This window comes from Homo sapiens, chromosome 13 (genome assembly GCF_000001405.40).
Source record: "Homo sapiens chromosome 13, GRCh38.p14 Primary Assembly".
Classification (NCBI taxonomy): Eukaryota; Metazoa; Chordata; class Mammalia; order Primates; family Hominidae; genus Homo; species Homo sapiens.
The window spans coordinates 39,072,243-39,093,233 of NC_000013.11; the positions used below are offsets into that span (position 1 = coordinate 39,072,243).

The 20,991-nt window shown below is 38.4% G+C and overlaps 1 long non-coding RNA gene across 4 annotated transcripts in view; it reads left to right on the forward strand.

Annotated features, from left to right (window-relative positions):
* Positions 1–19,452, forward strand: part of LOC105370169 (uncharacterized) — a 38,623-nt gene extending 19,171 nt beyond the window's left edge. The window contains exons 2-5 of one of the 4 annotated variants that reach the window (NR_187781.1): positions 8,986–9,121; positions 10,199–10,286; positions 12,885–13,012; positions 16,540–19,452. This is a non-coding gene — a long non-coding RNA (uncharacterized LOC105370169). The remainder of the gene's footprint in view (positions 1–8,985; positions 9,122–10,198; positions 10,287–12,884; positions 13,013–16,539) is intronic. The other 3 variants (NR_187783.1, NR_187782.1, NR_187780.1) reach the window with 3 other exon arrangements.
* The last annotated feature ends 1,539 nt before the right edge of the window (positions 19,453–20,991 follow it).

Sequence of the window (20,991 nt, forward strand, 5' to 3'; positions counted from 1 at the left end):
AAAATATCATTTGAAAACTTGTCTCTACAAAAAGAAAAAGGACCAAAAATGGTAAAGTTTGTGGCTAAATGGAAAATACATTTTTTCACAAAAATTTTTTTTCAGTTAGAGGGATCAAGATGGCTGAGTAGACACAGGTAGTGTGTTCCTTCTCCATGGTGATGAACCAGAATAATAAGTATATATATTTTGAGCAGATTATCTAGGAGAGAACACTTGGACTCACTGGAGTAGAGACAGGAAGTGCTAGAAGTAAGGAGGGGGTTTGAGGCAGCTTCCCCAGCTGGGAACTGGCAGCACCAAGAGAGGCTTCTTGACACGGGGAGACAGTAAGAGAGAAATCCCCAGAGCTCTGAAATGAGCTTGCATGATCTTTGCTACAGGAGAAACCCTCAACCCACTAGAGCCTCATGCCTGACATACAGAGCTGCCTAAATATTGCAGAGATGTTCCTGCATAAAGAGAATCCGCACAGAATCCCACAGGCATCCGAGCCTGGAGCATCCTCAGCTGGGCAGTATTTTCAGAACATAGATACTGGGAATCTGCAGACAGAGCTTCAGCTGCTGCATTGCTCCAGTAAGGAAAAGGGGAGAACAGGCATGCCTGTGCAACCCTAGGAGGATACTTGCTACCCTACAAGGGGCTGCTGCTGAGACTGAGACATGAGTGAACTGCACCCCACATAGATTTTTGCCCATGCTTCTTGCCTGGATGGTGCCACAGCTCTGGCCCCAGGTTAAGGTGCTATTTTGAGAGGCTAATGCTGGACTTCACCCCACCCTTGGCCGAAGTTTGTGCTGATGCAGTTGCAGCTGCCACCCAGCCAAAGAGGGACAGAGAGGCCAGGACATCCTATGCATATCTTGGACAATACCCACTATTCTGCAATGAGCTACTGAGAGACTGAGACCCAACTGGGCTGCATTCCCCACAGCTTCTTGCCCGTGCTTCTTGCCCAGACAGTGCCTCATCCTACCTGGTTGCAGGCCCAAAGTATCATTTTGAGATTGTAATGCTGAGCCCTACCCCACCTTTGGCTTGAATTTTGGCTGATGTGGCTTTAGCTGCCACCCAGCCAAGGAAGGGAAGGGAAGCCAGGTTCTCCTACTCCTGCCTAGGATAATACCCAGCACTCTGTTACAGTCTTTAGTGAGACTGAGACTCAAGTGGACCACACTCCTCACAGATTATTGTCCACGCTGCTTGTCTGAAAGGGTCCCAACCTCTGCAGTTGCAAGCCCACAGCTGGCATCATCATTAGAGACATTGCTTGGTGACTTGGCCATGGTGGTTACAGCTGGCATTTTAGCCTTGGGGCAGAGATTGGAGTGCTGGCTCTGGACAGGGGAAGGGACCCAACAGCCAAAATTGAGTAATGAGTGTGGACAGTGCCCCAACAGTAGGCACTGGAATTAGGCTCTCTCCCATCACAGAACTAGAACAGGAGGAGAGTTGCTGAAGCTGAGGTTTCTCCTGGGCAGTAAGACATGCAGCCAGGAACGGTTTTGTGACCTGGAACTGGTCTCCGTGTGTCATTACTGGGTGTCCCAGCCTGTTCCCTTGGTTAGCTGGGGGACAGTGCTCCACTATCTCTGAAGAGCAGGAGAGAGGCAGACCCCATTCCCCTGGAAATCTAACCCTTGGCACAGACTGCCCGTAAGGGAGGGCAGAATGCAGCCCACCAAAGTCCCCCATGGGTCAAAAGAAACATGAATGCAGTGCCAACCACTGAAGGCAACACCACCAAAGTCCAGGAATGGACATGGAGAGGGGGTCATCTCTTGCCTCCCACCCCCCTTCTCAATGTGCTGTTGCAGGCTCAGCAGGGACGTTCCCCATTTGGGCCTGGGGAACATGGACTGAAAAATTCTGCTTTGCAGGCTTCTCCAGTGGCTCATCTCCCTCTGAAGGTGAATACATGCCAGAAGAGGGCACTTTTCACGATTCTCTGTTGGCTCCACCCCTTCCCCTACCTGCTGGCTCTTAAGCACCGTCTATTGGAATGCAGCATAAAATACACTGCCAAATAAACTTACATCATTATAAAAAGCAATATCTGAAAGAGTCATTGCATAAACATATCTGCTACCAAGGAACCTTTACAGGTCCTTGGCACCCTAAAAGCACCCAGAAGTGAAGCCAATTGATTAGACACAATATACGTAACAGCCATAACCCCAAGGGAAAGAAGAATTAAAAAATCAAGAAGCCCCATCCAAACAATAGCAAATTAAAAACAAACAAACAAAACAAAACAAAAAAACGTCTCTCTCAGATGAGAAGGAAGCAGTGCAAAAACTCTGGCAATATCAAAAGCTACAGTGTTTTGTCACCTCCACAGGATTCCACTAGCTCCTAAGCAATGTATCCTAATCTGAATGAAATGTGTGAGATTATAGATATAGAATTCACAATATGGATGAAAAAGAAATTCAGTGAGATCCAAGAGAAAGTTGAAATTGAACAGAAAGAAGCCAGAAAAATGATCCAAGATTTGAAAGACAAAGTAGCTATATTAAGAAATAACCAAACAGAACTTCTGGAATTGAAAAATTCCCTATAGGAATTTCAAAATACAATTGGAAACCTTAGCAACAGACTAGACCAAGCAGAATAAAGAATTTCAGAGCTTGAAGACCAGTCCTTCGAATCAACCCACTCAAACAAAAATATGAAAAAGAGAATTTAGAAAATCAAGGCTTCAAGAAATATGGGATTATATAAAGCCACCAAGTCTACAACTTATTGGCATTCCTGAGAGAGGGGAAGAGAAAGTAAGCAACTTAGAAAACATATTAGAGGATATAATTCAGGAAAATTTCCCCAATGTTGCTAAAGAGGGTAACATGCAAATTTTTTAAAAAATCCAAAGAATTCCTATGAGATACTATACAAGATGACAATCCCAAGGAACATAGTCATCAGATGATCCCAGGTCAATGCAAAAGAAAAAGCCTTAAAGGCAGCTAGAGAAAAGGATCAGGTCACTTACAAAAGGAACCCCATCAGACCAACAATATACTTCTCAGCAGAAACCTCAAAAGCCAAAGATCGAGGGCCCATTTTTAGCGTTCTTAAAGAAAAGATATGCCAGCAAAGAATTTCATATCCTGCCAATTTAAGCTTCATGAACAAAAGAGAAACGGTCTTTCCCAAATAGACAATTGTTATAGGAATTTGTCACCACCAGACCAGACCTACAACAGATACTTAAGGGAGTTCTAAATGTGGAAATGAAAGAACAATACTTGCTACTACAAAAGCACGCACAAGCACATAGCCCAAAAAGTGCATAAGGCAACTATGCAATAGAGACTACAAAGAAACTAGCTAATGCTATGACAAGAATAAAACTTCACATATCAATATTAACCTTGAATGTAAATAACCAAAGAATTCCTCTTAAAAGACATAGAGAAGACATCCTCCTGCTATCTTCAAGAGACCCATCTCATACGTAATGACGCCCATAGGCTCAAAGTGAAGGGATGGAGAAAGAGCTATCATGCAAATACAAATGGAACACCAGAAAGAGCAAGTGTCACTATTTTGTATAAGATACAATAGACTTTAAACCAAGAATGGTTAAAAAAAAAAAAAGACAAACGGCATTACATAATGATAAAGGGTTCAATTCAAGAAGACTTAACTATCCTAATATATACACACTCAACATTGAAGCGCCCATATTTATAAACCATTTACTTCAAGACTTAGGAAAAGACTATCAACCCCACAATAATAGTGGGGAACTTCAATACCCCACTGACAGCATTAGACAGATAATAGAGGCAGAAAACTAACAGAAATTTGTAACTTAAATTTGACACTTGACCAATGGGACATAATAGATATCTACAGGACATTCTCCCAACACATTCTTCTCATCTACACAGGGAACATACTCCAAAATTGACCAAACACATGCTCTGTCATAAAGGAAGTCTCAGCAAATTTTAAAAAATGAAATTATACTATGCAATTCTTGGACCACAGTGGAATAAAAATAAAAATCAATACCAAGAGGAACTTTCAAAACCATATAAACATGTGGAAACTGAACAACTTGCTCCTGTATGACTTTTAGGTACACAACAAAATAAAGGCAAAAGTCAAAAAATTATTTAAAGCAAATTAAAATAGAGGTACAACATACCAAAACCTCTAAGATGTGGCAAAAGCAGTCTTAACAGGAAAACTTATAGCACTAAATGCATCACTATAGCATCAAGAATATAGAAAGATTCCAAATTAACAACACAACCTTGTACCTAAACAAACCAGAAAAACAACAAATTAAACCCAAAGCTAGAGAAAGTAACAAGATAACTCAGAGCAGAATTAAATGAAATTCAGATCCAAAATCCATACAAAGGATAAATGAAATAAAAAGTTGGTTCTTTGAAAAGATAAACAAAATCGATAGACTGATAAATAGATTAACAAGGAAAAAGAGAGAAGATCCAAATAAGCACAATCAGAAATGACCAAGATGACATTACAGCCAATTTCACGGAAATAAAAGATCCTCAGAGACTACTAAGAACATCTCTATGCACACAGACTAGAAAATCTAGAGGAAATTGACACATTCTGGAAACACACAACCCCTCAAGATTGAGCCAGGAAGAAATTGAAACCCTAAGCAGACAAATATCAAGTTCGAAAATTGAATCAACAATCATAAAAAAAAACCTACCAACCAAAAAAAGCCCTGGACCAGATGGATTCACAGCTAAATTCTTCCAGATGTACAAAGATGCGCTGGTACCAGTCCTACTGAACCTATTTCAAAAAAATTGAGGAGGAGGGACTCTTCTCTAACTCATTCTATGAAACCAGTGTCATCTTTATGCCAAAAATCTGCAAAGGCACAGGAAAACTACAAGCCAATATCCCCAATGAACATAGACACAAAAATTCTCAACAAAATACCAGCAAACTAAATCCAGCAGCACATCAAAAAGTTAATTTACCATGATCAAGTAGGCTTTTTTCACAGAACGCAAGGGTGGTTCAACATAGGCAAATCAGTAAATGTGATTCATCAAGTAGAATTAAAAATAAAAACCATATGATCATCTCCATAGACACAGAAAAAGCTTTTGATAAAATCCAACATCCCTTCACAATAAAAGCTATCAACAAGCTAAGCATTGAAGGAAGATACCTCAATAAGAGTCATCTGTGACAAACTCGTAGCCAACATCATACTGAAGGGGCAAAAGCTAGAAGCATTCCTCCTAAGAACTGATATAAGACAAGAATGTCTACTCTCAGCACTCTTATTCAACATAGTACTGGAGGTCCCAGCCAGCGGAATCAGGCAAGAGAGAAAAATAAAAAGCATCCAAGGGAAAGTCAAATTATCTCTCTTCATTGATGATATGATTCTATACCTAGAAAACCCTAAAGATTCCACCAAATACTCCTCTTCCTGATAAATGACTTCAATAGAACCTCAGGATACAAAATCAATGTACTAAAACTAGTGGAATTTCTACATACAATAACATTCAAGCTGAGAGTCAAATCAAGAATGCAATCCCATTTACAATAGCCACACACACAAAAATAAAATACCTAAGAATACATCTAACCACAGAGTTGAAAGCTCTCTATGAGGAGAACTGTAAATACTGCTGAAAGAAATCATAGATGACACAAACAAATGGGAAAGCATCCCATGCTCATGGGTTGAAAACATCAATATTGTTAAAATGTCCATACTATACAATGGAATCTCCAGATTCAAAGCTATTTCTATCAAATTACCAAGACAATCCTTCACAGAATTAGAAAACTATTCTAAAATTTATATGAAACTGAAAAAGAGCCTGAATAGCCAAAGCAATTTTAAGCAAAAAAAATAAAACCAGAGGCATCATATTACCCAACTTCAAACAATACTACAAGGCTACCTTAACCAAAACAGCATGGTACTGGTACAAATATAGACACATAGACCAATGGAACAGAAGGGGACCCCTGAAATAAAGCCACACCTTTATAATCAGCTGATTTTTGAACAAAGTTGACAAAAGTAAACAATGGAGAAAGGACACCCTATTTATTAAATGGTGCTGGGAAAACTGGCTAACCACTTGCAGAAGAATGAAACTGGACTCCTACTTCTCACCATTTACAAAAATTACCTCAAGATGGAATGAAGACTTTAATGTAAGACCTCAAACTATAAAAATCCTAGAAGAAAACCTAAGAAATACTCTTCTGGCTTAGGCAAATAATGTATGACTAAGTCCTTGAAAGCAATTGCAAAACAAAAATTGACAAGTGGGACTTAATTAAGCTAAAGAGCTACTGCACAGCAAAATAAACTATCAATTGAGTAAACAGACAATCTACAGAATAGGAGAAAATATTCGCAAATGATGTACCTGACAAAAGACTAATACCCAGAATCTGTAAGGAAGTTAAACAACTAAACAAGTAAAAACCAAATAACCCCATTAAAAAGTGGGCAAAAGATATGAATAGACACTTCTCAAAAGAAGGCATACAAGTGGCCAAAAAATATATGAAAAGAAAGCTCAGCATCACTAATCATCAGAGAAATGGAAATCAGAACCACAATGGAACACCATCTTAGACCAGTCAGAATGGCTATTATTAAAAAGTCAAAGAAATAACAGATGTTGGCAGCGTTGTGGAGAAAAGAGAATGCTTATACACAGTTGATGGGAATGAAAATTTGTTCATCTCCTATGGAAAGCACTTTAGATATTTCTCAAAGAACTAGAAATAGAATTACCATTTGACCTAGCAATCTCATTACTGGGTATATGCGCAAAGGAAAAGAAAGTGTTCTACCAAAAAGAAACCTGCATTTGAATGTTTATCACAGCACTGTTTACAATAGCAAAGACCTGGAATCAACTCAGGTGCTCATCAATTGTGGATTAGATAAAGAAAATGTGGTGTATATATATATACCATGGAATACTATGCAGCCATAAAACCTCATGAAGTCATGTCCTTTGCAGCCACATGGATATAGCTGGAGGCCATCACCCTAAGTGAATTAACACAGAAATAGAAAAACAAATGCCACATGTTCTCACTTATGGGTGGGAACCAAACATTGGGTTCACAAAGATGGGAACAATAAACACTGGGGATTCCAAAAGTTGGAGGAAGTGAGGGGGACAAGTGTTGAAGAAGTACCTATCAAGAACTATGTTCACCACTTGGGTGATGGGATGCCCAAACCTCGGTGTCATGCAATTTGTCCAGGTAACAAATCTGTACATATTTCCCCTGAATCTAAAATAAAAAATAAAATGCATAAAAATAAAAAACTTCTTCTAAAGTTTTAAGTATTGTTTAAAGCAATACTTAAACAATGTATTGATGTATTTATATAATATGTAGATGTAAAAAATATAACAAAAATATCACAAAAGATGATATGGTGAAATGAAAACATGTTTTAAGGATATGAGAAGAGGTATATTATTTGAAAGTAGATCCTGACAACTTACAGAGTAATATTTTAAATTCTAGTGCAGCCATTTGAAAATGAAATAAAATGTATTTGTGATAAATCAGTAGAAGAAGGTAAAATGCTACACAAATTGTCAATTCCAAAAGAAGACTGGAAAAGAGGGGGAAAAGGAAAAAGAACAGATAGGGCAAATAGAAAACAGCATTATGTTAGACTTAAACCCAGTCGTATTAAATATGACATTAAATGTAAGTGGTTTAAATACCCCAATGAAAAATTAGTGACTGTCATACTGGATAAAAGTGAAAGAGCAAATTAATTATATTCAGTATACAAAAGATGAACTTTACATATAAAGAAAAGATAGTTCGACATAAAATGATGTAAAGATATATGCTATTACAAAAGTAGTTAGAAGAAAGCTGAAGTAATTGTATTATCAACGTAGACTACAGAACAAGAAATATTATCAGAGATAAAGAGAGAAAGCTTATAATGATAAAAGGATGAAGTGTTAGGAGGACCTAAGAATCAAAATGTGTATATAACTAATAATGCTTCAGAAATACATTAAAGGGAAAAATGACAAATAAAAGAAAAATCAAATCCATACTCATAGTTGGAAATTTAAACACCCATCTCTCAGCAATCTATAAAACAACTAGACAAAAGGAAAACTTAATAAATATGTAAGTGATCTGAACAATATTATCAAGCTTGACCAAAATGATATCTATAGAACATTGTATCCAAAAAAACTGCAGGATACATATTCTTTTCAAATGCATATGGAATAGTCATTAAGATAGAGCACATGCTGAGGCATAATACAAGTCTCAATAAATTTAAAATATTTGGAAGCATACAGAATATGCTTGTAATTTAATTAGAATTAGATTAGAAGTCAATAATAAAATAACATCTGAAAAATTACCAAATATTTGGAAAGTAAATATTACATTTGTAAATAACTCATGTGTCAGAGAAAAAAAGTCACAAAAGGAATAAGAAAATATCGTGAAGTAAATGAAAATACAGCACTTCAAAATATGTGAATCGCAATTAAAACAGTGCTTAGAAAGATAAAGCTATAAATATTTGTGCAAGAAAAGAAGAAAAATTAAAATCAGTGGTCGGCTGCTCTGCCTATGGAGTGGCCATTCCTTTACCTTCTTATTAAGCTTGTTCACTTTGGGAGGCCGAGGCGGGCGGATCATGAGATCAAGAGATTGAGACCATTCTGGCCAACATGGTGAAACCCTGTCTCTACTAAAAATACGAAACTTAGCTGGGCGTGGTTGTGTGCGCCCATAGTCCCAGCTACTCAAGAGGCTGAGGCAGGAGAATCGCTTGAACCCAGGAGGCAGAGGTTGCAGCGAGCCGAGATCGCACCACTGCACTCCAGCCTGGCAACAAAGCGAGACTCAGTCTCAAAAAAAAAAAAAAAAAAAAAAAAAAAAAAAAAGTTTGTTTTTACTTTACTCTATGGACTCGCCTCAAATTCTTTCTTGCACAAGAACTGAGAACCCTCTCTTGGGATCTGGATCAGGACCCCTTTCTGGTAACATCTTCCTGGCAAACCCCAAAGGGATGATACTGAGGAGACTTCTGACCCAAAGGAAATGGACTGGAGCACCAATTGGCTAACTTTGGGTAAGTAGTGGTGTACCCGGGTGAAAAACGGGATAGAGTTAGAGGCCCAACTTAGGAGAGTTAGAATCTCTCCTAAGATGGAGTGGGTTAAAGGCCTCTCTTAATAAAAGGCAAGGATGCATGACTGAAGTTGGATTTGAGGCCTAACTTAGCAGGGTTAGAGTCCCTTCTAAGATGTAGGGGGTGTGAGGCCCCTCCCAGTAAAGTTCCTCCTGGCTAAGAACGGATTTGATACTATGGGGTGTTAACTGCCATTCTCTTTGGATTAATCTGCCTTGCACTCTTTGCTGATGGCTATGGGTGACATAATTAGGCACGTACAGGATCATGGGACATGGGGAGCTTTTTCCTCCCCAAACAGGGACACTTAAGAGCTAATGGGACTGCTGAAAAAGATCCCTTCTTGACTGACAAGCAGCCACCTGAACTTTTGATTCAGTGTTGCTGGGATGGGTGGGTCTTTCTCTGGCCTCCCTGAGCTCTTCGCTGTCCCCAGCCTACCACAGGCAATGCTTTTCTCTCTTTCTCTCCTTTCCCTTTCTTTCTTTCTTCTTTCTTTTTTTTTTTTTTTTTTTGAGATGCAGCTCGCTGTCACCCAGGCTGGAGTTCAGTGGCGCGATCTTGGCTCACTGCAACCTCTGCCTCCTGGGTTCAAGCAATTCTCCTGCCTCAGCCTCCTGAGTAGCTGGGATTACAGGCACGCACCACCATGCCCAGCTAATTTTTGTGTTTTTAGCAGAGACGGGATTTCCATGTTGGTCAGGCTGGTCTCGAGCTCCTGACCTTGTAATCTGCACACCTCGGCCTCCCAAAGTGCTGGGATTACAGGCGTGAGCCACCACGCCTGGCCCCCTTTCTTATATTTTCTATTACTCAGGGTGACCATCTTGCCCAGAGACCACATGTTGAAACTCCTTGTCGGAGGTTGGATTGATGATGACCCAGCCCAACCAGGGGCAAGTTTGAGCCTTGCCAGTGTGATATTGGGTGCTAAGCAGAGTGGTTAATGTCTATGTTTTGTCACACGTATTTTGCTCTGGCCAGAATGGAAAAAGATAATTTTCCTTTGTGTTGCAGCTTGGCCCCCAGTGCTATGGTGCACTGAGCTGGGTTACTAGGGCCACTTAGGAAAAGGGAACCCAGAAGCCTAGCATGCGGCAAAAGGGTAAGAATTTTTATCAGTCTGACTTCTGGTCTCTCTCTCTATCTGTCTCTCTCTCTCTCTGCAAACAGGTTGAATGAACGGTAAAAATCACTGTTTATCTCGGGTAAAGTTTTGATTAATGAGAAAAGAATTTGTGAGGCTAGTCTTAAACTGTAGCAAATCTGGTGTGCTTTGTGCGTCTTTCTGTATTGTTCTTTCATAAAGAGGGGTACTTTAGGATGGAATGCAGCCCTAGGACACCTGTAAGCCCACTGTTCAAGATGGCCCAGCGAACTGGTCAATTATAAACTTTGATGCAAGTCCCTGAAAAAAAAAAAACCAAAAAAAACTGGATGAAGTTTCCCTTTCGTCTTATTTTATGTCTTTGGGACCTTGACCTTGTAATCATGTGGTCATATTTTCCCTTGGTTTCCACTATCCAGCAGACAGGAGTTTGGGGATTCATGTAATAGCCCTAAAAATAATCTTGAACAGTTAAAAGCCTTTGCAAGCTCAAAATTGGCTGATCTAGGTTCCTTCTGGGAAGGATAATGGATACTGCGCAGTGCTCTGGCTCAGTAGCTAAGGCTTTGTCTTTTCACAATGGTGGTCCAGGTGCAGGGTTCAATTCCTGGCTTAGAGAATGAGTCCTTTCTGGTACCCAGAGAAATTCCTTTCCAGGTTCTCAGGGAAATTTTCCTTTCTTTGAGCACCTTGGAGTTTACCTTTGGTAAAATTCAAAAGCCAGAAATATTGGTGGTTTGGCGTGGCCGAAGTCAGGTAATAAGACATTTTCAAGGATTTTTTTTAATAGCACTATAGTTAACAGTCAGCTTAATTCAAGCTCTAATAGCCTGGGACTTCTTGGGAAAAACAGGAGGTTCCAGGGACCCGGTTTTGGGCAAAACCTCTGTTTTCCTCTTTGAACCCCAGGAATTGAAAATGGATACATCTTGCTCAAAATCTAAGACTTTGTTCTGTTTTGCATTGCATTATCTGACATTTTTTACTTTTGGTGGTATCAGAAATTACTTCACATTATGAGGGACTTTTGGTGTGTAATAACTAGGTAGGAAATATACTTTTAGGAATGGCTGATGGCAGTTATGGGTGAATACTTAGGTGTTTGCATGTTTGGATTAGAGAAGCATGCTCTTGGCCACCTTGAAGGTATGGAAATACCTTCTTATCTCCCACTGAGAGATAAGACTCCCATGGGAAATGGGCTGATTCCCCCACTTTTTTGTTTTGCAGTTGGGGGCAGGATCTAGTATAAAATGGGACCCTTAATTTTGGAGGATCTACTTTGCCTTCCACCTGTGCCTGCTTATCAGGCTGTTGAAACTGCATGCTTTCCTGGCCCTCTTCCTCCAAGGGCTCCACCCTGAAGCCAGTAATCCAATTAAGAAACTGGCAGATGAAAAATCTTACAACTACTGGATCTTCTGTCTGTCTGTATATTTATATATGTTGTGTGTTTGATATGAAAGGGCTTTGATTAATTGGTTTAAAAAAATAAGAGCTTAAATCAAATATTTTATCAGAAAAATAAAATCTGTAATGCCTTTTAGTTCACATGATTTAGTAATCTTTGGGAAATAAAAACTGTTTTACATGCAAGGTGTGTAAAGGAAGTGAAATGTGTTTTTGGTAAAAGATAAGAAGTCATGAGAATGTGGATTTTTTTCTGCCTAGATTAAAGGGCTAAAGGATTGTTATAAGTTAGATAAGATAAAGCTGAAGGTTTGAACAAGTTGTGGAAGGTTTGTAAAAAGTAACTCATGAGAGAAATTCTGTGTGTGAACATATTGGCTAAAGGGGTACTCAGTTTTTATGTAAATTGAACATTGGAATAAAAGCACAACAGGTTTTTCTTAGAGCACTGATCTGCTCTTTCCCAAAAATTGTAAAGGGTTATATTAATAAAAGTTTTATGATCCACTTTGCTGGGGAGGTGAGGATGTTTAATTACAAGTTTATAAGAATCTTACCTTATGGTCAAACGGATTAAAATTGAGTAAATTTGTCTATAAGGTTTTATTAAGAATTGGGTTTATCATTAAGAGTACACTAATGTAAAGGTGAAATTTGGCTTATTTGGTGTAAAGTCCATACAGAAAGCATTGTCAAATGTGAAATAGTGTTTGGCTTTCTTAGGGCTATATTTGCATAAATATGTTATTGGTATGTGTTCCAAAATTATGGAAAATTCCTAATAATTCTAATATGACTTAGGGTATGTTATTAATGATTATAATCGTTATGTAAAATTGTTGTATGCCACAGAAGTAACCAAAATTTCCTTTTCAACTGTGGCTTTAACAGTGGCTCTCCTAAGATTTTTGTCATCCACAGATAGTTTTCTTGTTTTGATCCTCTTCAAAAGGTGGCTTATAATCAGATATAGGACTTAGACAGGTGCTCTCGAATGCAAGTTTCTAATAAGCTTTGAGATTGTGACATCAGAATAGAATAAAAACTTTCAGGACTCATTGACAGCTGAAATGTTTGTGAATATCAAGCAGGACAGAAGTTAACTGTGTGGACTGAACTAATAGAAGGCTGAAGTAACCTTTTTGACTTTGCTTAAAATGTTGCTGATCCTGTTTTGTTTTTCAGAATCAAGAAAAACTTTTTTTTAAGCTACTTGTAGCTTTTCACAATTGAGTAAGGTATACTCCTGTAAACAAAATTTGGAGCACATTCGTCTCTCTCTACCTGATTTCTCCAGAATTTGAAAACTAGTTGTGAGTATTCTTAACTTATGGCAATTTAGTTATTTGCATAAGTGCAATAAGAATCTGTTTTATTTTGTAACAGGACACAATTGGAGAAACTAGTGATTTTACCAAGGCTTTGACTGGAATGGTATGCTTTCCTTTAAGGAATCAAACTTGACTTATAGAGCCAATAAAAGCCCCTTGGAAAAACTAGCCTTATACCTTATTTACACCGTCCCCGTGCAGGGTTTCTGACCTGTGGTAAGTAAAGAATGTCACTTTCTAACAGGCCTAGGGGCCCCAAGTTATCTTGGGACATCAAGGGGAGAGGAATTTACCCAACTCATAGGTATTTGAGGGTACAAACTGTTGGCTGAGCTTGGCCTTAAAAAAGTCTTATCTGAGATTCCTTTTATGGAACAAAGTTTCATCAAAGCCAATTTTAAAAGCCTATGTGAAAAATAATTATTCTTGCTTCACTTTATATGAATAATCAGGCCAAGTATAATAAAGCAAATAAGTCTTACCATGATTTCTGTTTAGTAAAAATGGGAAACTGGCAAGAGAAAAATTATATTTCAGGAACTATGGTACACTTGTTATTAGATTCTAGTCTCAGTTGTCTTTAAGTTTTCTTTTTTTCTGCAATTTAAACTTGTTCCTATGAACCAACCAGTGATCTCTGGCTGCAGCTCAGAAGAAACAAGAGGGATAGGTAATGTAAAAATCTGGATCAGTATTCTAATTCTGGATATGTATTGGAATCAGCCAGCGACCCCATAGCAGCTTGGTTCCAGCAGTTGCCCAGGTCCTGGAGAGCCTTTTTATTTAGTTTACTTATGATAATTTTGCTTATTTTTCTTTAATGTTGTGGAATATTGCTATTGTACTTTTTGTGTAGGAATGCAGGATAAACTTACTGAATGTTTTCTTAAATTGGACACTCATTAATCTTCCAGATATCACATTTTGTCGGAACTCAAGAGTTATTAATGGCCCACAACATACTGACACTTTCTGACTAAGCTTCCTCTCTACCCCAAATACAAGAGACCCTAATAGTTAGGCAGGAATATTATCACCCCTATTCAGTCTGAAGAAGTTACTGGAGATGGATCTTCATCCATCTACAACCCTTAGGATTAAGGGTTCTTTTATAAAGGGGAGTGGGGGTGGAGGAGTATGTTGGAGATGTTTGAACCAGAGTGACTCCATTTTTAATAGGGGCTGGGTAAAATGAGGCTGGGCTGAGACCTACTGGGCTGTATTCCCAGGAGGTTAGGCATTCTAAGTCACAGGATGAGATAGGAGTTTGGCACAAGATACAGGTCACAAAGACCTTGCTGATAAAACAACATGTGGTAAAGAAGCCAGCCAAAACCCACCAAAACCAAGATGGCAACGAAGATGACCTCTAGTTGTCCTCACTGCTCATTATATGCTAATTATAATGCATTAACATGCTAAAAGACACTCCCACTAGTGTCATGACAGTTTACAGATGCCATGGCAACATCAGGAAGTTACCATATATGGTCTAAAAAGGGGAGGAACCCTCAATTCCAAAAATTGCCCACCCCTTTCCCAGAAAACTCATTCATCTACCCCTTGTTTAGCATATAATCAAGAAGTAACAATAAGTATCCTTACCCAAGCAGCTCAAGCCATTGCTCTGCCTATGGAGCAGCCATTCTCTCTTCCTTTACCTTCTTAATAAACTTGCTTTCACTTGAAACAAAAAATCAATGGCCTATGATCCTACTTTAAGAATAAAAAGGAGAGCAAATTAAATCAAAGATCAGTGAATAAAATAATAAACAAATGGAAATCAATCAACTAGAAAACATACAAAATTAATGAAACCAAAAGCTGGATATTACAAAAGATCAAAGAAATGGATAATTCTGTAGCTATACTGATCAAGAAAAAAAAAACAAATTACCAAAACATCAGGAATGGAAATGGTTTCTTATTACCTGAGATTTGACAGGTGTATAAACCCATGAAACTACCACCCAAATAAAGATAATTTTTCCATAACATGAAAAAAGTTGATACATACCACTTATGGTTAATCTCTAACACCTGTCATAATTGAGACACTATAGATCCTACAGGCATTAGATCCTATGCTACAGATCCTATAGAAATTAAAAAGAATAATTTAAAAATATAAAAACTTCTATGCAACAAAACCACTGTGATAAGAAGTTGTCAACTTTTTTTAAAGGGCAGATAGTAAATATTTTAGGCTTTGTAGATTATATGTTTTCTATCACACCTACGCCACTCTGCTGTTATAGCATGAAAGCAGCCATAGACAATGTGTAAATGAATAGATGTGTTCAAACAAAACTTTATGTATAAAAATCACTGATATATCCAACATGAATGAGCATGAAACATATTATGCTAAGCACAAGAAGCCAGAAATAAAAGAGCACATGCCATATGATTTCATTCATATGAAATTCTAGAAAGGCAAAACTAATCTCTCATGATACAGCAGATCAGTGTTTGAATTATCATGGGTGTTAGAGATTAACCATGAGTGAGTGGTATGTGTCAACTTTTTTCATGTTATGGAAAAATTAATTTTATTTTGGTGATTTTTCATGGGTATATACATTTGTTAAAGCTCACTGAATGGTATACTTGAATGAGCATTTTTTATTGAATGTAAATTAAACCTAAAAACTTATTTTTAATCAAATGATTTAAAGAATGGGAACAAAACTAAAACGGAAGTTTGGAGAATGGAGAATGAAAACAACAAAAAATAGACTTTTCAGTGGAGGAATGGTAGGTGAGAGAACACTTGCAAAATAACTTTGACCTATAATACATCTGCTAAGTGAGAAAAGTAGTTGGGTGTAAGAGAAAGTAAAGAGGATTTGAACAGCTATTAACACAGAGCATAATAGAAAATACAACACGAGTGAAGTGATTGCCAACTGAAATCAGAGAGCAAGAATACTGAGTGTGTCAAGAGTTCTTATTTTCCTTGCTTTCTCTCACCATGGTTCGTGGCCCAGAGAACATGAACAGCAGAAGTTACTAAGGATTAGGGATTACAGAAGTGCATATGACTCGCAAGGAATGTATAGTGTTAGGAAAAGCAATGCAGATATGGCTAAAAATTTTGAACAGAAAACTTACTGGGTAGGGAAGAGGTAGGAATGGTAAGGTTGGTTGGCATGAAGAAGAGGTTGAGCATGTATGAAAGATAGGAAAAGATGATAGGTAAGAATGATCTGAACTAGGAAAAATTTTCTATGATCAGTTGATACATTATGTGACATGGTCTTACCAAGTTAGTAAACTATCACTACTGGCAAGCTAGTAAGCTACTTACCAAACAGTAAGCTATTACTAGCAATGGCAGGTAGTCAAAGCTGAAAATATAAAACACCTCTGTCAGTCACAGGCTTAGAAAAAGTTCCTGTCCTTTCTGTAGGAAATAACTCAATAAACATCAACCTTATCAACTTTTAGCTCTGACAATGTTTTATATCCTCCTTAACTGATGGCTGTTAATGACAATTTATTTTCAGGACAACTTTGTGCCCTGTCTTCCAGTTTAACATGGAGCTTTCAGTCTGTAATGCAGAGGATCCTCTAGGGTATAACTCCACAAGGCAGAAGACAAGTTTACTGTGGACAAAAAAATGGGCTAGAATGTCTTCAGCTTCTCAGGCCCTTAATAGGGCTGATGATGGATGACTCTACTGGAGAAAAGGAAGACAAAGAGGTTTCAGATCATCAATAAAGCAGCTGACTCTCAAGAAATGGCTGGAAATCATATTTAAAGTCGATCTTAAATGAATTTGAAAAAAATGCACATAAAGATCGTTACCTGCCTCGTTTGGACATATCAGACCTATGAATATTTATGTAGAAACAAGAGCTTATAATTATCACAAAAAGAAAATGAACACTACTTTTCCCATTTAGAAAAATATGAAAGGCAAATTTTAAATGAAAACTCTCTTGGGACATTTGATATGTCATGAACTATCAAGACCATGACTATTTTTTAATAGCTTTTGAAATCTTTCTCGAAAATGTCTCTCTTCTTTTCTCCATTCTTATTTATTCCTTAGTTTTGACTTTAATATATTTATTATTCTCAGTTGCTTCTGTAAGCCTTAACTTTTATCAAATTTGTAAAATAGCAGAGAATAGAATTTTGATGTCATTCAAATGCCTCACCTAGTACTATGCACATAGTAAACACACAACTAATACAACTGCACTTGGATTCAAAGATCCTTCAATGGTGGAGAATAGAAAAGCTATAGGGCAGGATTTCTAGTCTGCACAGAGCTGAGCACAGAGGAGCAGTGCTGTGTCAAGGGCAAGACTCTCACAAGTGGCTGGAGCAAACAGAGAGGAAAGACTCTTCCCCTAGAACCTAAGTAGCCAGTTATTCAGGCCCAAAGGACCCCTCTGTTGCTAAATCAGGGATCAAGCCTTAAATAGGTTAATTTTTTCCTTATGTGAACATACAAGGGTAAGCAGACTTACCATTCTCATCAAAAGGAGATGGAAAAGGGACATAGAGGTCTGACATCTGCATAAGCTACCTAGCTACCTGCAATCTAGCTGGTACAACAGCTATCTTTAATTTTTAGTAAGGGAGCTCAAGTAAGTTGCCCTAGATGAAAAAACCAGTAAGGAGAAAGCTTAAATAACTTGCCCAAGATGACACAGCTAGCACAGGGCAGTGCTTGAGTAACTTCCCGAGGTTACACAGGTAGTGAGAGGTGGAATTGCTAGGTTGTTCAGCACCACACTTTTCTCCCCTCTACCTCAATGGTTCCTGGCTCTGTGTGGGTGTCTCCTAGCAGATAAAATGGCCCTCTTCCATTTACATTTGTCTTATCCTTATATCTTCAAAATGGTTCGTAAGACAAAAAGAGCCTGCCCTTGATAGACTGCCTCCCACTGCAGCAAGTCTAGCACTGAGCAGCCCTAAGACTAGAATGCCAACTTCGTAGAGGGAGGATAGATAGGAAAGGCTCCTGAGACCTGGGGCCTGGGAGAAGGAAGTAGTAGGTTCAAGATTAAGAGGAGGTGAGTGATACGTGTGGCTCAGACATAAAATGTAATGCCCACCAAAAAACTCAGTCATCAATCTAAGTAATATTTACTGAAATGATTTTTAAAATCACAGTATGAGAAACCCGTGAAGAACAAAATATCAAACTTGTAAATAAAGACAGGATCCGGCAGGGCCAGTGTGGTGGTGAGGCAAGTGAGGCTAAGTTATGTAAATGAAGGGTTGGACCCTATCTTAATTTTAAACTGCTGAAATTTTATTTATCATGGGCTTTTTTGGCATTTTGATTGTTAAAATAATTCATTATATTGTTTATCTTGATTACTGCATTTTGGCATCCCCATAAATTTTGTGCCTGAGCTGACTGCCTCACTCACTTCATTCTAACGTTGGCTTTAGGGTGAAGGCTGGGGAGCCAATCTGAACCTGACAAATAGTCTGGGCCTCACAAAAGAAAGGAGAAAGGTGGGAGCCTCACTAAGAATTTCATGCCGGGCTCCTCTTGGCACATTATTTTGTTTGTTCCTGACGGCCACCCTCCAAGGCAGCTATTAGTATTATCATTTATGTAGGAAACTGAGTGCCAGTATTACAAGGGTAGAAAGTGACTGAGCTGGGTTTCAGCCAAGGCCTATCTGCCTCTAGATCCTGGCAATTCCCACTACTGGCTGATACGTGCCTAATAGTTTATAACCAAAATTCTTGACATTTTCTCCACCTTTCAAGTCACAAGCTCCACCACATGAAGACAGAAATCACAATGGGAAATTTCATTTGCTTGTCTACTCTTGAAGCTGCGTGAAATTTTAAACCATAGCTCTATTTTCCTGATGTCCTTAAATTACTATTCTTCCCAAGTTATTCATATTTTACGTCTAGTATGAGGCTCAGACAGTAAAAGTGTGAATGCAATGCACCCATTTTACATGTATCATTCATTACTATGCTCGATTGGTGTGCCCTTTGCCGCACCACAGCATATTTAGAACAAAACAGATCAGTCGGTTGGGGGGATTCAGTAACACTCTACACTTGTATCCAGTCAATTGTTGATGGTAATCCAATCTTGGATGTGGTGAAAAGAGGGTGGGCTTAGGGTCTAAGTGAAATTGACTGCCAGTGTGTGACTCTGAATCATTTATTTATATCTCTGAGGTTTTCGTTCCCTTTTTTATAAAAATTTTATTAAATAAGTTTTCATTTTTCCGTAAAACTAAGACTGAAGGAAAGTCTGCCTTTCTTAAAGTCAGCAAGGTCTACTGATAAAGAAGATACCTTGTAATCTCTACTTTCATGACAGAAATCCAGGCCTAATCAATACTTTTTTCTATTATCACTGTAATTAAGGCATAAGGCTTTCCCTGATATACAAATGATTAAACCTCTCAATAAACAACTTCACATAGGTCTGGCTCTGCTGATTACTTTATCATTGCCTTCTGCAATAGCCACTATTGCCATCTACAGCTTGGGCTCCTCTCCATAAATAGAGTACAATTAACAAATGCATTATTGTCATCTTGTTTGTATAAATGTTGTTGTGAACAATAGCCATTTATTATCTAAGATGTCACCTTTTGGCTTTCACAAACTAACATTTCATGAATTCATAGACCATGCACAGTCTTTCAGGCAGAATTAATCAAATATCTCTTTGGGACCCTAATAGATTTTGGGGGCATAATTCTGTTATGTTTGTGTCATCTTTGCACGTTCAATGCCAAGTATAATGCCTGGCATATAATAGGTTCCACAACAGATAATAGTTGATCCTTGATGGAAATCACTCAGTTTATTTCGTTTTGTTCCTGAAAAAATAAACACTGCAAACACTGGTCTTTCCAGAGTCTCACCGGATAAATATCTGTGTCCTCCACCAAATGGCCCATGAATTAGCACATCAGAGTGAAGAGAAAGGATTAGGGACTAGAAGAACTAGTAGATGATACTAATCAAGCTTCAGACTTATTGAATTAATTTAGATCAAAGGCTGACTAATCCTTGTCATTTAGCCCATTTTCTAATATTTGAGCATTTAATCTTTTGGGGAGATCTTCTTTGGAGGAATACATTCATTCAATAGATTGAATATTTATGGATCAGATATTGTTTCAGGTTCTAGAGGCTCAAAAATGTCTAAGATATTATCTCTGTCTTTAAGGCTATCACAGGTTAATGGGTAATGTACACAGAGTTAAAATGCAGTGCAAATGCATAGAAACATGTCCAAGGAATAATACGGGCATAAATGAGAAGTTATTGGCTTTTATTTCCTGAGCCTAGGAATGTGTAGCAAAGAAGCTTCAAAGTGGTCTAAAGAATGAGTAGGAATTTTCCAGCCAGTACAAAATAGCATAATAAGCTTAGGGATTTTTTTTTTCTTTTTTGAGATGGAGTCTTGCTCTTGTCACCCAGGATAGAATGCCATGGTGCGATCTTGGCTCACTGCAACTTCCACCTCCCGGGTTCAAGTGATTCTCTTGCCTCAGACTCTTAAGTAGCTGGGATTATAGGCACCTGCCACCACACCCGACTAATTTTTGTATTTTTATTAGAGACGGGGTTTTGCCATGTTGGCCAGGCTGGTCTTGAGCTCCCTAACCTCGTGCTCTGCCCACCTCGGCCTCCCAAAGTTCTGGGATTACAGGCGTGAGCCACTGCGCCCAGTCAGGAGTTTTAATAGCTTCATATGGTTGGAACACAGGATGCTTGGAGAGGGCAGGGGATTACGCAGCACATTGGGTCAGGGATCAGATGATAGGGAGCCCTCTGTACCTGTTGAGTTTTGACTTGGACCTTTTGGTCAGAAGTTCTCAACAGTCCTGAGAAATACAGGATACTACTTGGCTCACATCCCAATTAGTACGAATGGGTCATCCAGAGTGATTAATCCCCTTTGCATATGTGATTTTGGTTTGGCCTTTTGCCCTGAGAATTTCAACCT